Genomic DNA, 15,381 nt, shown 5'->3' with positions numbered 1-15,381 from the left:
GTAATATTTGTAGTTTTTAATACTGCCATATAATATTTTAATATGGATGACTATTAGAACACTGTTTTTAACAGGAAGATTAAACTTGATATAAATAAACTTTCTAATTACCAATGGACAGAAGCTCGCGAACAACTATAAGCAATCACAGATGAAGAGTAACATCTCATCAAAGGATGGTAACTGTGTAATAAATAATTAGAATTGAATACAACAAAAACCAATGTGCTCCTAATCAGCGTAGTCAATTGAGGTCTATTTATTGTGCTGAATTTCCTCTATTATGGGCTTCAACAACACTGGAAAGAAGATGCTATATGTGCATATGGGGCAGGGAGTTTCTGGCTTTCAGAGAAAATGCCACTGGAGAGCATCTTATTTGAAAGAATTTCTGAACAAGATGTTTGGGAGCATTCCCTAATCCTAGAGATCAATAAGGTCACACCCTTCTGTTAATGTCCTTGTTTGCAGGCATTGAGATCATCCTCTAAGCCTAGGAGATGGGCTTTCCAGAACAGGAGTGGCAGTGAGGGATCTCTGAATGGCAATAAGAGGCTCTCTGAAATACAGGTCAGTATGTAAGGAGGTGGAAGCGGTGAGGACTGGATTTCTGAGTTCCATCTGCTGTGTTTTGCCAAGGGAGCAGTGAGCTAGGCACTGGGAAGATAGTGAGAAATATAATATTCCTGGACCCCTTTCTCTAGGGATGTAAGACTTGAGAGGGAGGAAAGAATAAAAAATAACTGAGAATTTCAAAGTCCAATACGAGAGGAAGATGGTAGTAATCCCACGACAGAGCCCCAGGACTTCTGTGTGAAAAAGAAGAAAAAAGATTTAAAGAAATGTGGTAGGTTAGAACTTACAGGAAGGTCAAATTTAGGCTGTAAGAAAAGAGATTGAGTTAAACCACTTCTAGAGAGGAATCAGATGCACTGTGGTAGGAAGACACAAAAGAGGAAGACTGTGAATTCTATATAGGAGACTTAAATAAAATTAGTCACATTATGAGGGTAACTCATTTAGAAACAGAGGAAATAAGGAGATACATATGAAAACTTATAAGGGGCTTTAAGAGTGGTGCTTTCTGGAAACCAGTGCTATATGTAGTTTTATTTAGCGGAATGTCCTGGAAAATGCCCACAGGGAAATTTCCAAAGCTTCTGTGGGTATTGAGATACTCTTGGTACTGAAAAGCAATTTCAATGGGAGAAACATATAACAACATGTTATAATAGTGAACAGGAAAGCAGAGAAGCAAATTTCAATAAAGATAGCTGGAAAGCATTTAGGGAAAAATATGTCAACAATTTGTATTAGATGTTGGACATTAGAGTATAAGATGCAATCCATGAGCATACACTGGTAACAGTGAACTGGTCCGGGTTGACACTGGTTCAGTATACTGCTACAACCAGAATGGCTCAGGAAATGGCAGATTCAATCAGAAAGGAAAAAAAAAATCCAAAACCAGAAACTGAACTTTAAAATAATACTATTGAGCTTTAGGTGCCTACCTCAAGAAGATGTAAAAGCAAATTAAAGACTTCTTAAAATATAAAGAACTATATAAAATTATTGAAAAGACCTTTTCTGTAGGCAAAAGGGCAAGCTAAACTGGAATATGATAAATAACTATAAAATATTATCATAAATGCTGGAACTATGCTTAGTGACTTATTTATACAAATTTCAGAATTCAATAATTGTTTTACCAGCAAGGAATAAACAAAAGAAATTAATTATTGGTCCAAATGGACATAAAAATACATATTGAATTTTAAAATGTAACTCATGGGTTAGAAGGGAAAGACAGGAAACTAAAGGAAGATTAAAATGTTATATCCTGGCCGGGCATGGTGGCTCATGCCTGTAATCCCAGCACTTTGGGAGGCTGAGGCAGGTGGATCACCTGAGGTCAGGAGTTCAAGGCCAGCCTGGCCAACATGGTGAAATCCTGTTTCTACTAAAAATACAAAAATTAGCTGGGTGTGGTGGCAGGAGCCTGTAATACCAGCCACTCGGGAGGCTGAGGCAAAAGAATCGCTTGAACCCAGGAGGCAGAGGTTGCAGTGAGCCTAAATCGTGCCATTGCACTCCAGCCTAGGTGACAAGAGCAAGACTTGGTCTTAAAAAAAAAAAAAAAAGTTATGTCCCATACCTTTAATGCTTGTGTCAGAAATAGAACTCTAAGGTCAAAAGACCAGCACTGGGCAAAGCCATAGGTAGAATAACCCAATGTAGTAAAAGTTTCAATTAACTTTAAAAACTACCATCAAATGCATTTAAAATGGGGATTTGGCAAATACAAAAATTAAGACTTCATAGCTAACAATATTTTTTTCAGAAAGAAAGCCATAAGTTAGTTATGCATTTCTGTTAGCCATACCTGTGTCTTTGTGGGGCCTATATCCAGGCCTTGTACAAATTTTTCCAAAAAATTCTTTACTGCATCCCAAGGATAAATACTATTTGATTCATCACACACAACCACAACATCTATGAGGGAAGGGCAGGCTACACAGGAAAAGAGGAAAGAAGCAGATTTCCACAGGTAAGTCATATTTCACAGCCATATAAAAATGAGACTTAAGGAGGGTTTGGGTGCCACTAGTTGATAACCTTTTCCCCCTCCTTTAACTGTAAGGCATTGCTCAGACCATCTGCACATTAATAACTTACGCTGAGTTGCAGGTGAGAAGCTGGCTGAGAGCTGAAAATCAGGACTGATGTCAGAACACACACCCGTTGTGTAATACTGATTCCCACATTGCTGTGCCCACAGAGGACCACATGTCTTCAAAGAAATGAGAAAACAATCAATGGAAACACATGAAAAATGCAAACCTTCTACCTCTCCATTATGGAGCTCAGAAATCATCTCTACTCTTTTCTAAGATACTAATAATTGTCAACTCAAAACCAATGAGTCAGTAATGCCTTCGGGGAAAGCAGAAGTGATGGAGAAGGTGGCAGGTGCTCTGTGCCCAGTGGCAAGCCTTGCGGGAGGAGGAGTGCTGAGACTGTTGGGAGCAGGTGTCAGTGAAGGGAGGAGCCTATGAGGTCTCCCAACAAGCTAGATAAAACAGGTGCTTTCCTTCCAGAGAACACCAAGGAGGAGAATGCATGCAGGTTCACTTTTTGTCTCTCATTTACCTGGGCCTCAGGTGATTCATCTGTAAAATGAGGATAACCACACATTCTATCTTTTAAGATTGTTGTAAAGATTAAATGGGTCTATAGATACAAAACACTAAGAACAATGCCAGGTAAATAGCAAATGCCATATAATATTGTTAGCTAGCATCATTATCATTGTTCTTGCTGAACATTAGTTTTCTGCAGTTCCTTCCATTCATACTGCTCAGCAGAAACCATAAACCTAATGGCAGTAACGCTTGAAGAGGGCTTGGGGTCAGGTATAGACATCATGGTGAATGAAGAACCCATGCCTATGTACAGACCACTATGTTTTCTGCCTGCCCACGGGTATGAAATAGGTTGTGTTGCCAGATTCCCTAATTTGTAAAAGAGAGTCGAGAGGGCAAATGTTGTGTGAAAATTCAGTTCAAAATTACTCCATATGCTAAGCAAACACAAATGAGGTTCACTGACTACCAGTTTTTAACTTTGGCCACTTCCCAATTAACTGCAGTCACTAACGCTGAATGGCACTTGTCTTCTTGCTCACATTATACCTGCTCCAATCCTTAATATCTCCATTAATGCAATCCCAATTCTCTCCTTTTCAGGAGTCCTTGAATGCCAAAAACTCCTGATTAAATCATGATTAAATGACACAAGAAACATTAGATTAAATAACTTTAAAATTGATACATGAAAAAGGAGACAAGTGCAAAAGAGAAATCTAATTAAGATCCTAAAAAATGCCTACAGAATTTAACGTTATGTAAAGTTGTGAATCAGTTATAAAACTGAACAGAAGAGTATGGGCTTGCAAGAAGTAATTGGAAAAATAAAAGAAAACTTATTTGACCCAGTTTAACTGTCAAAGGGGAAGCAGCTTTGGCCATATTTCATGTGCAATGAACAAGGCATAGTTTTCTCCCTATAAAACTGATTTATTTTGCCAATTAATTAGAAGAAAGTCATTATTAATGTCTTTGGTTAGTTTACCAAATAACAGATACTAATTATTGGTTTCTATATCCCCATTCCTAAGCTTTTTTTAAAATCACTTTGAAAAAGAACTCATGAAGTATTCAAAATTTTTTTTTGTTTTAAAAGCAATGGAAAACAGCATTAAGAAGTTGAAATTAAAATATGCCAATTGTAAGTGCCAGAACTACATTCCTACTTTAAGCCCAGAACTTAAGAAGTTTCAAAAAAATGTGATGATTGTCAGTCTTTTCCACATAATTCTTAAGAGTATCTTATGATTTTGACCTTCTAAGTATGTAAAGGAAACTTTGGGTTTTTTCTTTTTTTCTTTCTCCTCCTCTCTCTCTTTCTGCCTCTCTGCTTGCTACCTGGACTGCTAATTAATCTCTCAAATTCTCTTGCTTTTTACCTTTCATTTTTTACTTTATCTGGAGTTATAGATTAAAAATTTTGAGGCACATTCTGTAATCTCTAAATATCAGTATGTTCTTTTTTTAAATTTTTGCAACTTTAAAATCAAAAAACAAAAAGATTAAAGCAACCTTATTGTAAAGACCTTGGAATATCATAAACCATAAAGATCCATTGCAATATTCATTTATGCACTGATGTTAACACATATCACAAGCAATATCTAATTCACTTACTGGCAGCACAGTCATCAGAATAATAATATCCATTAGTAAAAATAGAATGACGTTGAAAATTGATTACATTTTTAGAATAATACAGTTATAAAACATAGGATTTTTAAGAAAGCGTGCCAATGGTTCAGATAAAACTAGTGTAAAGTTGAATTATGCTGTCTAAGACTTTTTTTTCTTTTTTTTTTTTTTTTTTTTTGAGACAGAGTCTCACTCTGTCGCTTAGGCTGGAGTGCAGTGGCACGATCTCGGCTCAGTGCATGCAACTTTTGCCTCCTGGGTCCCAGTGATTCTCCTGCCTCAGCCTCCCGAGTAGCTGGGATTACAGGTGTGTGCCACCACTCCTGGCTGATTTTTGCATTTTTAGGAGAGATGGGGTTTCACCATGTTGGCCAGGCTGGTCTCGAAATCCTGACCACATGTGATCCACCTGCCTCAGCCTCCCACAGTGCTGGGATTACAGCCATGAGCCACCGCGCCCAACCTCTCTAAGACAATTTTAACAGGGTTATACATACATACACATACCTATATGAGTCAATGGAAATTTCAAATAAGATTGTGTTTTTGTCTTCAAACTTTTTTTTTGGTGTGTGATGTTTTTCCCTTTTTTTATATAGTCAAATCCTTTCAACAATTTCCTATATTATTTTTTCTATTAGCTCTAAACTCAGAAATTTTTCCATCCTTCAGAAAATTTCCATTTTTTTCTAGTTTTTTTATATTAACTTTCAATTCACTTGACAGTGTATTTGGATATGTAAATATTAATCAATTAATTGTTCCAAAAGCACTTGTTAAATAAGGCATTCTATTTCACTGATTAGTGATGTCTTTTTACTCTTTTTGTAACTAAATGAAAGTGAGCACTGACATGAGAGACTGCTCCATGCCTCAGATAACACCAGATTACTCAACAATTACAGGAAATGATTAAAAACCAAAAATACTTTTTAGCTTTGAAACTATCTTGAATGATCCTACAGGAAGTAGAAATGAGATTTGGGATTCTGCTGTTATCAACAAATACTCAGCACACTTTCCAAGGGCAAAGAATCAGGGTTCTTTTTGTTCCCTTTTCTTCAAAACATTCAGTAGCAGTGGTTTTGCTGAATATCCTAAAAAGTCTACACATCAACATTATTTTGAATATTCAACATTGGATAGCCAAATAAATAGCATAATTTATCAAAAAGCAAGTTCTAAACATCTAAATCCTCAGATTGGGAGGGATGGTGAGAAGACACTACTGTCTATGTACTTTCTTGAGAGGAATAATGATTTGTAAAGTAAACACTCACGAGAAAACCTCCAGTTCCCATGTTCCTGGTGAGGATCAAGCCGAGGCTCATGTTGGTTTTCATCTCAGTAACATTTGGAATGCTTGTTGAAGCTTTCAAAGGGAAAACAATTTTTAAAAGTGATTAAAAATTCCTCGTTTACTTAAAGATATTAAAAGAAAACAGGCACACCCATGTTTGCATGTAGCATTGAATTTAGTGTCATCAATATAGGTACTTGAGTTATATAATGAAGTGTGGGGAAACGCGATGCTTTCAGTGATCTGGTAACGCACATTAATGTGTGAGGCTGCAGAGCATAAGACAGTAAGGAGTGGGCTCTGGAGAGGGTATGACTTATAGATGTTTAATTATGATTTTTTTTACAATATTCTAGCAAAACAAAACACATTTGAGGACATCATTTTTGCCTCTCTTTTGAAAGTCACAGTAGCTCTATCTAATGCCTTTTTTTTTTTCTGGGTCAGTAAAAATATCCTTGAAGTGTTATCAAAGAATGCCCTATGATAGAATCTGGCTCAAAGCAATAGTGGGTGAATGTTAAAAGGAAATTAGACGAGTCATATAATATACTAAATAAATCTCTCCACCTCCTGTCTTCCACTGACCTAGGGCATCAACCACTGTATCCATTCTTGAGTTATCGAACATTGCAATTCTCTTTAGTAATACCATCATTCAGTCATGTTTCTCATCTCTGCCAAGCTATCATTGCCTCTGTCACTTATTCTTAATTGGATTCCTTCCCTTATTTCCCAGGGTGACTGTTGTAAAAGTTCACCTTTCTTTTTTTTTTTTTTTTTTTTTTTTTTTTTTTTGAGACAGAGTCTCACTCTGTCATCCAGGCTGGAGTGCAGTGGAGCGATCTTGGCTCACTGCAACCTCTGCCTCCCGGGTTCTAGCAATTCTCCTGCCTCAGCCTCCCAAGTAGCTGGGAATACAGGTGCACACCACCACACCTGGATAATTTTTTGTATTTTAGTAGAGATGGGGTTTCACCATGTTGCCCAGGTTGGTCTTGAACTCCTGAGCTCAGGCTATCTACCCACCTCGGCCTCCCAAAGTGCTAGGATTACAGGCGTGAGACACCATGCCCAGCCAAGTTCACCCCTTCTTTTCAAGCCTCCAACCTCAACTCAGATCCCATCACTCAGTGAATAACGACTACTGCAGAGAAGATGAATCAGACTTCCAGGGTAATCTCAGTTTCTCTAATCATTGTGTAAAGATCATTCTTAGAACTCCTAATTTTTCTCTCCTTCCTTTGTGTCTTAGAGAAGGAAGAACTCTTTTTAAGACTCTATTTCTCAGGTACAAATGACATTAATTTTAATCAGTTAACTCTATCCTGGACAAATCATCCCTTTTTACTGCTGCCTCCATGTTCCCTACAAAAAGTATCATCTCTTGTTTACTAGAAAAATCTTCTCACACTGCTATCCCATAGAATTGTTTTTCCCAGCTCCCCCTTCACTGCTGAACTTCTGGAAATGGAGGTCAACTTTCACTCCTTGTACATTCACTACTGACACACTCCTAAATTCTTTGTTATCTATTTTCTCCCCATAACACTGGTGGATTTATCCTCTAGGTGAGTAAGTTACACAAAATATGATCTGTTAGAGTGAAGACAGAAAATAATAGAACTTCTATGGGCATGTTGTTATTCTTTAAAATTTATTTTTATGTGAAGGTATTATTGAGAAGATAGGCCAGTACATGTATATAGCTTTAAAAATAATAAAAATATATACATTAAGAATGAGTGTTCAGAAGTTAAGGGTGATATGAAATGTTAGGGGTGATATACTAAAATTTTTGGACTATATAATAAAGCTTTGAACACTCACTCCAAATGTATATATTTGTGTTATTAGAAATATATATATATATATACTGAGTGTTCAAAAAATTTGGAGATCACTGATCTAGATCACCCACAACCTGCTTAAATAAGCTGAAGACATTTACTCAGTCCTCATCCCCTTCAACTTCTGTAGCATTTGACACTACTGATATTCCTTCTACTTCACTGAAAATATGTTTATTGAGCCCTATTATGTGCCATAAATTATTCTAGATATTAGGTCTACAGAGATATGCAAGAAACACCACTTCCCTTGTTTCCAAGTCTTAATCACTATTTTTGAAACTCTTCTTTCCCTTGATTTTCACAACACTCTTTTCTAATTCATGCCTCAATTCTTCAGAGGAACTCCGTGATTCCTCAGGGCTGTTTTTTTAGGCTGCTGCTGCTGATGATGTAATGATGATCAAATTGAGTGACTTTTTACTTGTATCAGCATATTACATGGAAATGTCACTCATTTAGCTGTCTACCCTTGAACCTTTAGTAAATTTTTGGCATTAATAGGAGGCATCTGAGATGGGGATAATTAAAACAGCAAATAATTCCAAATTGTGGATTTGTTTTATTAGAATGCCATCATTTAGACATAACAAGAAACACAGAGTGTTTTTGGTGCCTCCAAACTCAGCCCTTGTACTGATGTTTCCAAACTTAATGGTTTATTTTGCAAAGAGGAGAGAAAGAAATATGGATAGCCTCGGATTCAAGGATAGCCTTGATTCTGCAAGTAATCATCAAAATTATTCTAAATGTTGATGGAAACCAGTCCATGGTCTATAGGTAAATGGTCCAGGAGATAGCACATTTTCCACGCATCTTGTTAAGTCAAGTCTCCAAACTGTTTTGGAAATTTGGATATGATTGTGCCCCATATTACTAAAGACATAAGGGCAAAAAAAAGCTGTCTGTATTTCTTTAAGACAGAACAATGATTGTTCTGATGTTATTTTTCAGTTGAGTCTAAGACAAATCACATGCCTTGCAAGTAAATTTAAACTTACTTTGCAAATTTAGTTTTTCACATGTGGCAGTGGATAGGTCAACAGGACATTTATACACATCTCCCATTCGGTTCTCAGGAAAGCCACTCCAGGGTGAACCAACCAGTAACCTAGAAACACATTTTTTTTATTAGACACAAAGTGTTAAGTATAGTTTCTTAAAGATAAACCTGATCACAAACAGTGAAAAACACATTTAAATTTCAATGTGAACAGTTTATATTTGTTCAGCTATGATTTGACCTGCTGCCTTTCTGCTTAGCTGATAAAGAGCTTTGATCAATGTCTGTAACACTGCTGCATTGCCACACACCCTAGAAAGTCTCTCTAAAGCAATGCTGTCCAATAGAAATATAATGCAAGCTACGAATATTAGCCACATATATAATTTCAAATTTTCTAGTAGCCAGCTACATTAAGAACATAAAAAGCAACAGGTGAAATTAATTTTAAAAATATATTTTATTTAACTCAATATATCCAAACTAGCATGCAATATCAAAATTAGTAATGAGATATTTGACATTCATTTTTCCTAAGTCTTTGAACTTCAGTGTAGATTTTACACTTAGAGCACATCTCAATATGGAAAAGTAGCATTTCAAGTGCTCAGTAGTCACATGTGGCTCGTGGCTACGTATTGTTCAGCACAGCTCTAAAGAATGAAACCAAATTTAAACCAAGAACAACAACTAGCCTTTGCTGAGTGCTTTCTATGCCCTAAGCATTTTCATATGTTGACTCATTTAGAGAGCAGATATCTTATCTTAGTGGCTTTATGCTAACTGTCTTTATGAGAGGATACTTAGCAAAAATACAGAACAAATACATTACAAGCTATCTTTATGTGTAACAAAGTGCATATATCTAGAATACAGGATGAGATTGGTGTTTACATCCTTCCTTCGGTTAGTTTCATTTCCTTCAGAACTTCACCTAGAGAATATGGGTTTTCTTGCAGAAGCACTCACCTGACACTTAGAACCACAGAAGATTGCACAGAAAGAGCCCAGGTATCAGTTTGATCTTTAGAAACTGCAGCAGGTTACTCAGCAGCATTCAATTAATACGGAAGCATATTTGCTTCCATTTTTTTTCATGTCAGTATTGGGAAGGGTTAAAATATCAAAGAAACTAAAATTATTTCATGAGCCTTCTGTATATATATTTTATAATTATCATTTAAACAACATATGCCCCATGTTGAGGTACGGTAGATACAAAAGGATTAAAGCAGACTGCTGTCTTCTAAATCTAGTAAAACTAGATATATGTGACAAGTAAAATAAAAATCCAAATGACCTGGAATATATGATCTAGTTTACCAGTAGAAAAAACATTAAAATGGTCCAAGGTTACAAAAATGGACACCAAAGGATGAAGGTTTTAACCTGAAGTATTAGCAGACAGAATAGCATGAACACTTAGGGAAAAAGGAAAATGCAGATTATTTTGAAAGTTAATAGTTCATTAATAAGTTCTCTCCTCGTTCATCTTATAAAATTATTCTCAAACTAAGATAGAACACTCTAGCACACTTTAATTCAGTCAGCCTTAACGTTAGAGTTGAAAGATTTTTTCTTCTTATGAGCTAATAATTTACCATAATTTACCTTTTAAAATATTACCATAGTTAGGTTTACAATAATACCAGGCAGATAGGTTAAGGCTTTTGAAAAAGATAGAAATCTGAATGTTGGATGTTAGTAAGTCCCAATAGCCACTTTAATGAAGGGAGGGAACCAGTGCAGAATTGGAACGCGTGTTTGAGCATATCTGATGTCTTTCAAATTCATGATAGCTCAGAAGAAATTAGGAATCTTATAGAGTCGGTACCAAGAAAATTGTCTTCCAGAGCCTTGATTTTCTCCATCTGTACAGGTCTTCATTTCATAGTAGTATTACACAGCATTAACTCTGATTTTTGCATGCTGGACATATCTTAAAGTGTAAAAAGGAAAGAATCTGACTCTTTCTTCTCTAACCCTGGCTTTTTCTATGTGTCTTCCTGAAATCACATTTCAGTCATATCGAATTTAGCTTCTCCTTCAAATTAGAGTCTCTGTTGCTTCTAAACCTTCATACATGCTGTTTCTTGCCTGGCAATGTCTACTCATTAGTTTGATCTCCTGTTTGACACCACTTCCTCTAGGAAGTCCCCCGGCTCTTTTAACTCGAGGTAACCCTAAGTACCTACATAGCCTCTGACCTTTCCACATCCCATTAAAAAAAATCATATTGCCCCATAGCTGCCTTCCTACTGACTAAATCCCTCACTAGAGAGGAAAGGTACATGAGGGCTAGGAATTCTGTGCCTGTAGCAATGAATAACCACTTGTTGAACAAATGAGTTAAAAAAAACAACAGCAAATGAACAAGCAAATGAATGGATGATTCTATGCTATCATTTAAAAAAGAGTTTCCTGATTAAGGAAAAGTTAAGCAGAAAATCCTTACTTTTTTTTTTTTTTTTTTTTTTTTTGAGATGGAGTCTCACTCTGTTGCCTAGGCTAGAGTGCAGTGGCACCATCTTGGTTCACTGCAACCTCCACCTCCCGGGTTTAAGCGACTCTCCTGCCTCAGCCTCCCAAGTAGCTAAGACTACAGGCCCGCGCCACCACACCTGGCTAATTTTTGTATTTTTAGTAGGGGATTTTGCCATGTTTGCCAGGCTGGTCTCAACCTCCTAACGTCAGGTGATCCGCCCGCCTCCACCTCCCAAAGAAAATCCTTATTTCTGTTCTTCTGGGGAGCATGTATTTTTGCTTGTTTGGTCCAAGTAAATGTAAAAAAAACAAATCAACCAAGTTGAGAGGGAAGCATTATACATTCTGTTACCATTGTGTTATTGTGTCATCTGTTCCTTTCTCAGCCTCTGCGTATCTACTACGCACCAAACTGGCATTTTTTTTCTCAAACAAAAGCTTACTATGGAGTAAATGTAGAGAACAAAATAGCACCTTATAGCAAGGAACTATCATAGGAAGTGTGGCTCTGCCCCTTGGCATTCATTAATTAATTCCTATTAATTATAGTAAATTTTACAACATCTGGTACTATGTGTAAGCCTTTCCAAAGATTATCTAATTTCATCTGCAGAAGAAGCCAGAAATTATTATTATTATTTTTGAGATGGTCTCGTCTTTTGTCACTCAGGCTGGAGTGCAGTGGCATGATCTTGGCTCACTGTAACCTCCACTTCCTGGGTTCAAGTAATTCTCCTGCCTCAGCCTCCTGAATAGCTGGGATTATAGACATGTACCACTATGCCCAGCTATCTTTTGCACTTTTTTAATAGAGATGGCATTTCATCATGTTGGCCAGGCTGGTCTGGAACTCCTGACTTCAAGTGATCCACCCTCCTTGGCCTCCTAAAACACTGGGATTACTGGTGTGAGCCACTGTGCCTGGCCACCGGGGATGATCTTATCCCCATTTTACACTTCATTTTACAGATGGAATCACTGAGACACAGATTGATGAGTGACTTGCTCATGTTCCCATGGCTAGTGAAAACCAAGTGCGGAAGCCCAGGTTCTTAACGCTTAGGCTAGTGTCCTTCCTCTTAGCTGCAGGAAGTCCTGGCAGAGGGCCCAGATTGGGAAAATGATCTTAGCAGATGAGGTGGGTTCTAGAACTAGCATGGATTAGAAACCAGACACAGGGAGTCAGGCCACACTTATGTGAAGGGGTGTGTGGCTGTGTGATATATGAAGGGGCTGCAGACTGGACACGAAGCACAGCTGTCCTGGGAGGGTACATCCATACTGTGGGGCCTAGGCTACACTGTTCTCAATGGCAGGTAGGAACAAGGCATGTTCAGACAACACCAAATACAAACCCAATGACAGGTAGGAACAGGGTATGTTCAGACAATACCAAATGCAAATACCAAATTCAGGTGATTCTATTATGCACATTTCCAACCATCCTCACCACAGCCCGAGAGAGGCTTGCTGAGAAACAACAGAGAAGTGTGTCTGATCTAAAATTTAACTGTTTTTTTTTTTTTTTATCAGAGCCTCTGGTAGCAAAGCTGCAACAACTAGCTATTTTCTTCCTGAGAAGACTGTTTGGTTTTTTTCTCTCAACTAAGCACTCCCTGGACACTCTCCCTGTCACCTCCTACCACCTTTTCTAAGAATTCAGGATTTGATAACCTTGCAGCACAGGAGGGGTCATAACATCATGACCACCTCTGTGAAAACTGCAGCTCTTCTAATTTAATCAGAAAGAAGAGAAAAGTAAGCATCTGTGCAGTTGTGTGGCACTTAACAAGAAGGATGTGGAAGCACTTGAAATTCCCTAAAAGATACATGCAAATACATCTCTGACAGTATTATGCTATCTTAAACTCTTAACACAAGGCAATAGAAAATAGTGGAAAACCAGACCACTTTGGTAACTCTTGAAGAACAAGGGTTTCCTCATCATATATGACTCATTTCTTAAATATTGTGAACCACATTAATAAGTAGGCTACAGGTCATGTTGGTGACTACAGAGAAGTCACTGACCTTTGCTTACCTTCTTTATTAGAAACATTTCCAGCAGACTCTCCTCCTCATTCACACCCTAAGGCCTCGGTGAAATCCTAGTTCCTGACAACTCACCCTCATAAGAAGAGGCTAGGACATCACCAAGAGGCTATTCCAAGAAAATTGTGGCATTCTTAAATTAATCAGACAGGAAGATGAGGGAGGCTGTTATATTTCTCTATGAAATTTTACGTGCAGGAAGAGACACACCAAGAGAAACTGTTACCAAGGTGGGAAATTGGATATGTTGGTGAGTATACCTGTTGAAGTATGGCGAAACCTCTTTGAAGTAATGGATTTAATTTAATCCCAACCAGACAAAAGAGTTGCATGAACAGGCATGTGTGCTGATTCTCAAAACAAAACAAAATCCCAAGATATAAACTTTTCTTTTCCTCCAGTGAAACTGGGAATTCTTCCAAGACTACTTTAAATAACACTTACTGTTCAATTATCTTGTGGGAAAATAGTGATTATGTAGACTTTCAAAACACAGCCAATTTGCCTACCTCCAGTGGAATTCAAAATACTTTGTTTAGTTAGCAAGCAGTATTTATGGTGGTGTAGGTAGGACAGTTTTAAACCCACAATCTAGGGGCTGTTATAAATATCTTCCTTTGGTCTGTGAGTCTGTAAATTCTCCAAGTGTTTTCTTCAATACTAGAGATTTTACCAGAGATTACTGACAGAGATGTACTTAAAATAGTAGGGCAAAACATTTTGTTTTATTCAATTTTATAACAAATGTTTATTGGGCTCTTGGGGACTGAAATGGTACACAACCCCAGGGGACACCATTCCTTGAATGGTGTGTCCAGGCCTTGTGCAGTATACAATCTGTGAGTCTATACGTGGTGGCCAGACCTATTATGTACCAGACCTCATTCTAGGTACTGAGGATATACTAGTGAATAAATCAGTAAAAAAGTTTCTAGCCTGAGGAGCTTACATTCTAGTGGGAGAAAATAGACAGTAAATGTAATAAGTAAGTAAACCATATAGTGGTAGTGATCAGTGCTTTGGGAGAAAAATAAGCAGGCTGGAGTTAGGAGTGTGGGGTGGAGAGCAGTATAATCTTCATCGGAATGGTCAGGGAAGGCCTCACTGAGAAGGTAATATTTAAGTAAAAACTTGAAGAAGGTTAAAGAGTAAACCTTAAGACTCTAGTGGCAGAATAGTCTAGGCTGCGGGAACAGCAAATGCAAAAGCCCTGTGGCTGGAACAGAATGAGTGAGGGGGATAGTGGAAGGAGATGGTAGTCCTACTGGTAATGATAGATCATGTAGTGACTTGTACGTAATGATTAATAGAAGGCCTCAGCTTTCCAGCTGAGGGAAATGAGAATGCCATTGGAGGGTTTTGAGTACAGCATGATGTGATCTGACATATTGTAGAAGAATTTTGAAGGCCACACTGTTGGGAATCATTGTATTGAAGCACAGGTGAGTCATGTAAAGTACTTAGAAGACAACTGCAATCATCCAGGCAACAGATGATGGAGTGCTCATACAGGGCTGGCAGAAGGGAAAGTGGTAAGAGGTGGTCTTGTTTTAGATAGAGTGTGATGGTAGGGGCAGCAGGACTTCTTGAGGAGTTGGTCTTTCAATGAATGAATGAATGAATGAATGAATGAATGAATACGAGTCAAAGACAGCCTAAAGGTGTTTGGCTGAGAAGCTAAAAGAAACTAGTCACTACCATCAGATTAAAGGGGATGCTGTCAGTAGAGCAAGATTTTGCGATAGGGGGAGCTCAAGAGTTCACTGTGAGATATTTTAAGTTTGAGAGGTCTATGAGCCATCCAAGGGGATATTTTACTTTGGATTAGAAACTTATTGTATCTACATGCACGTAAAAATTTTCCAAGTCTATAGTATATAAATATAAATATTGTTTCTTATATTGTTT

General features: G+C 37.5%; 1 protein-coding gene across 6 annotated transcripts in view, besides 1 other annotated feature; it reads right to left on the bottom strand.

The window, feature by feature from the left end:
• Positions 1 to 15,381, bottom strand: part of ITGA2 (integrin subunit alpha 2) — a 105,428-nt gene that overhangs the window by 43,623 nt on the left and 46,424 nt on the right. For all 6 annotated transcript variants that reach the window (NR_073105.2, NR_073106.2, NR_073103.2 and 3 more), the window contains 4 exons: positions 8,936 to 9,045; positions 6,065 to 6,156; positions 2,680 to 2,794; positions 2,387 to 2,514 (listed from right to left, as the gene is read on the bottom strand). Coding sequence is in view for 1 of the 6 variants with exons in the window: in NM_002203.4 (NP_002194.2) it covers positions 2,387 to 2,514; positions 2,680 to 2,794; positions 6,065 to 6,156; positions 8,936 to 9,045 (445 nt within the window). In the remaining 5 variants the exon portion in view is untranslated. The remainder of the gene's footprint in view (positions 1 to 2,386; positions 2,515 to 2,679; positions 2,795 to 6,064; positions 6,157 to 8,935; positions 9,046 to 15,381) is intronic.
• Positions 9,578 to 9,667: a silencer, noted in NCBI's record as "silent region_16004". NCBI's record gives its function as "represses an Ori minimal core promoter by ATAC-STARR-seq in GM12878 lymphoblastoid cells {active_cell/tissue: GM12878}" and the evidence as "EXISTENCE:reporter gene assay evidence [ECO:0000049][PMID:35858748]".

This window comes from Homo sapiens, chromosome 5 (genome assembly GCF_000001405.40).
Source record: "Homo sapiens chromosome 5, GRCh38.p14 Primary Assembly".
NCBI lineage: Eukaryota > Metazoa > Chordata > Mammalia > Primates > Hominidae > Homo > Homo sapiens.
This window is presented reverse-complemented; position numbering and strand designations above follow the sequence as displayed.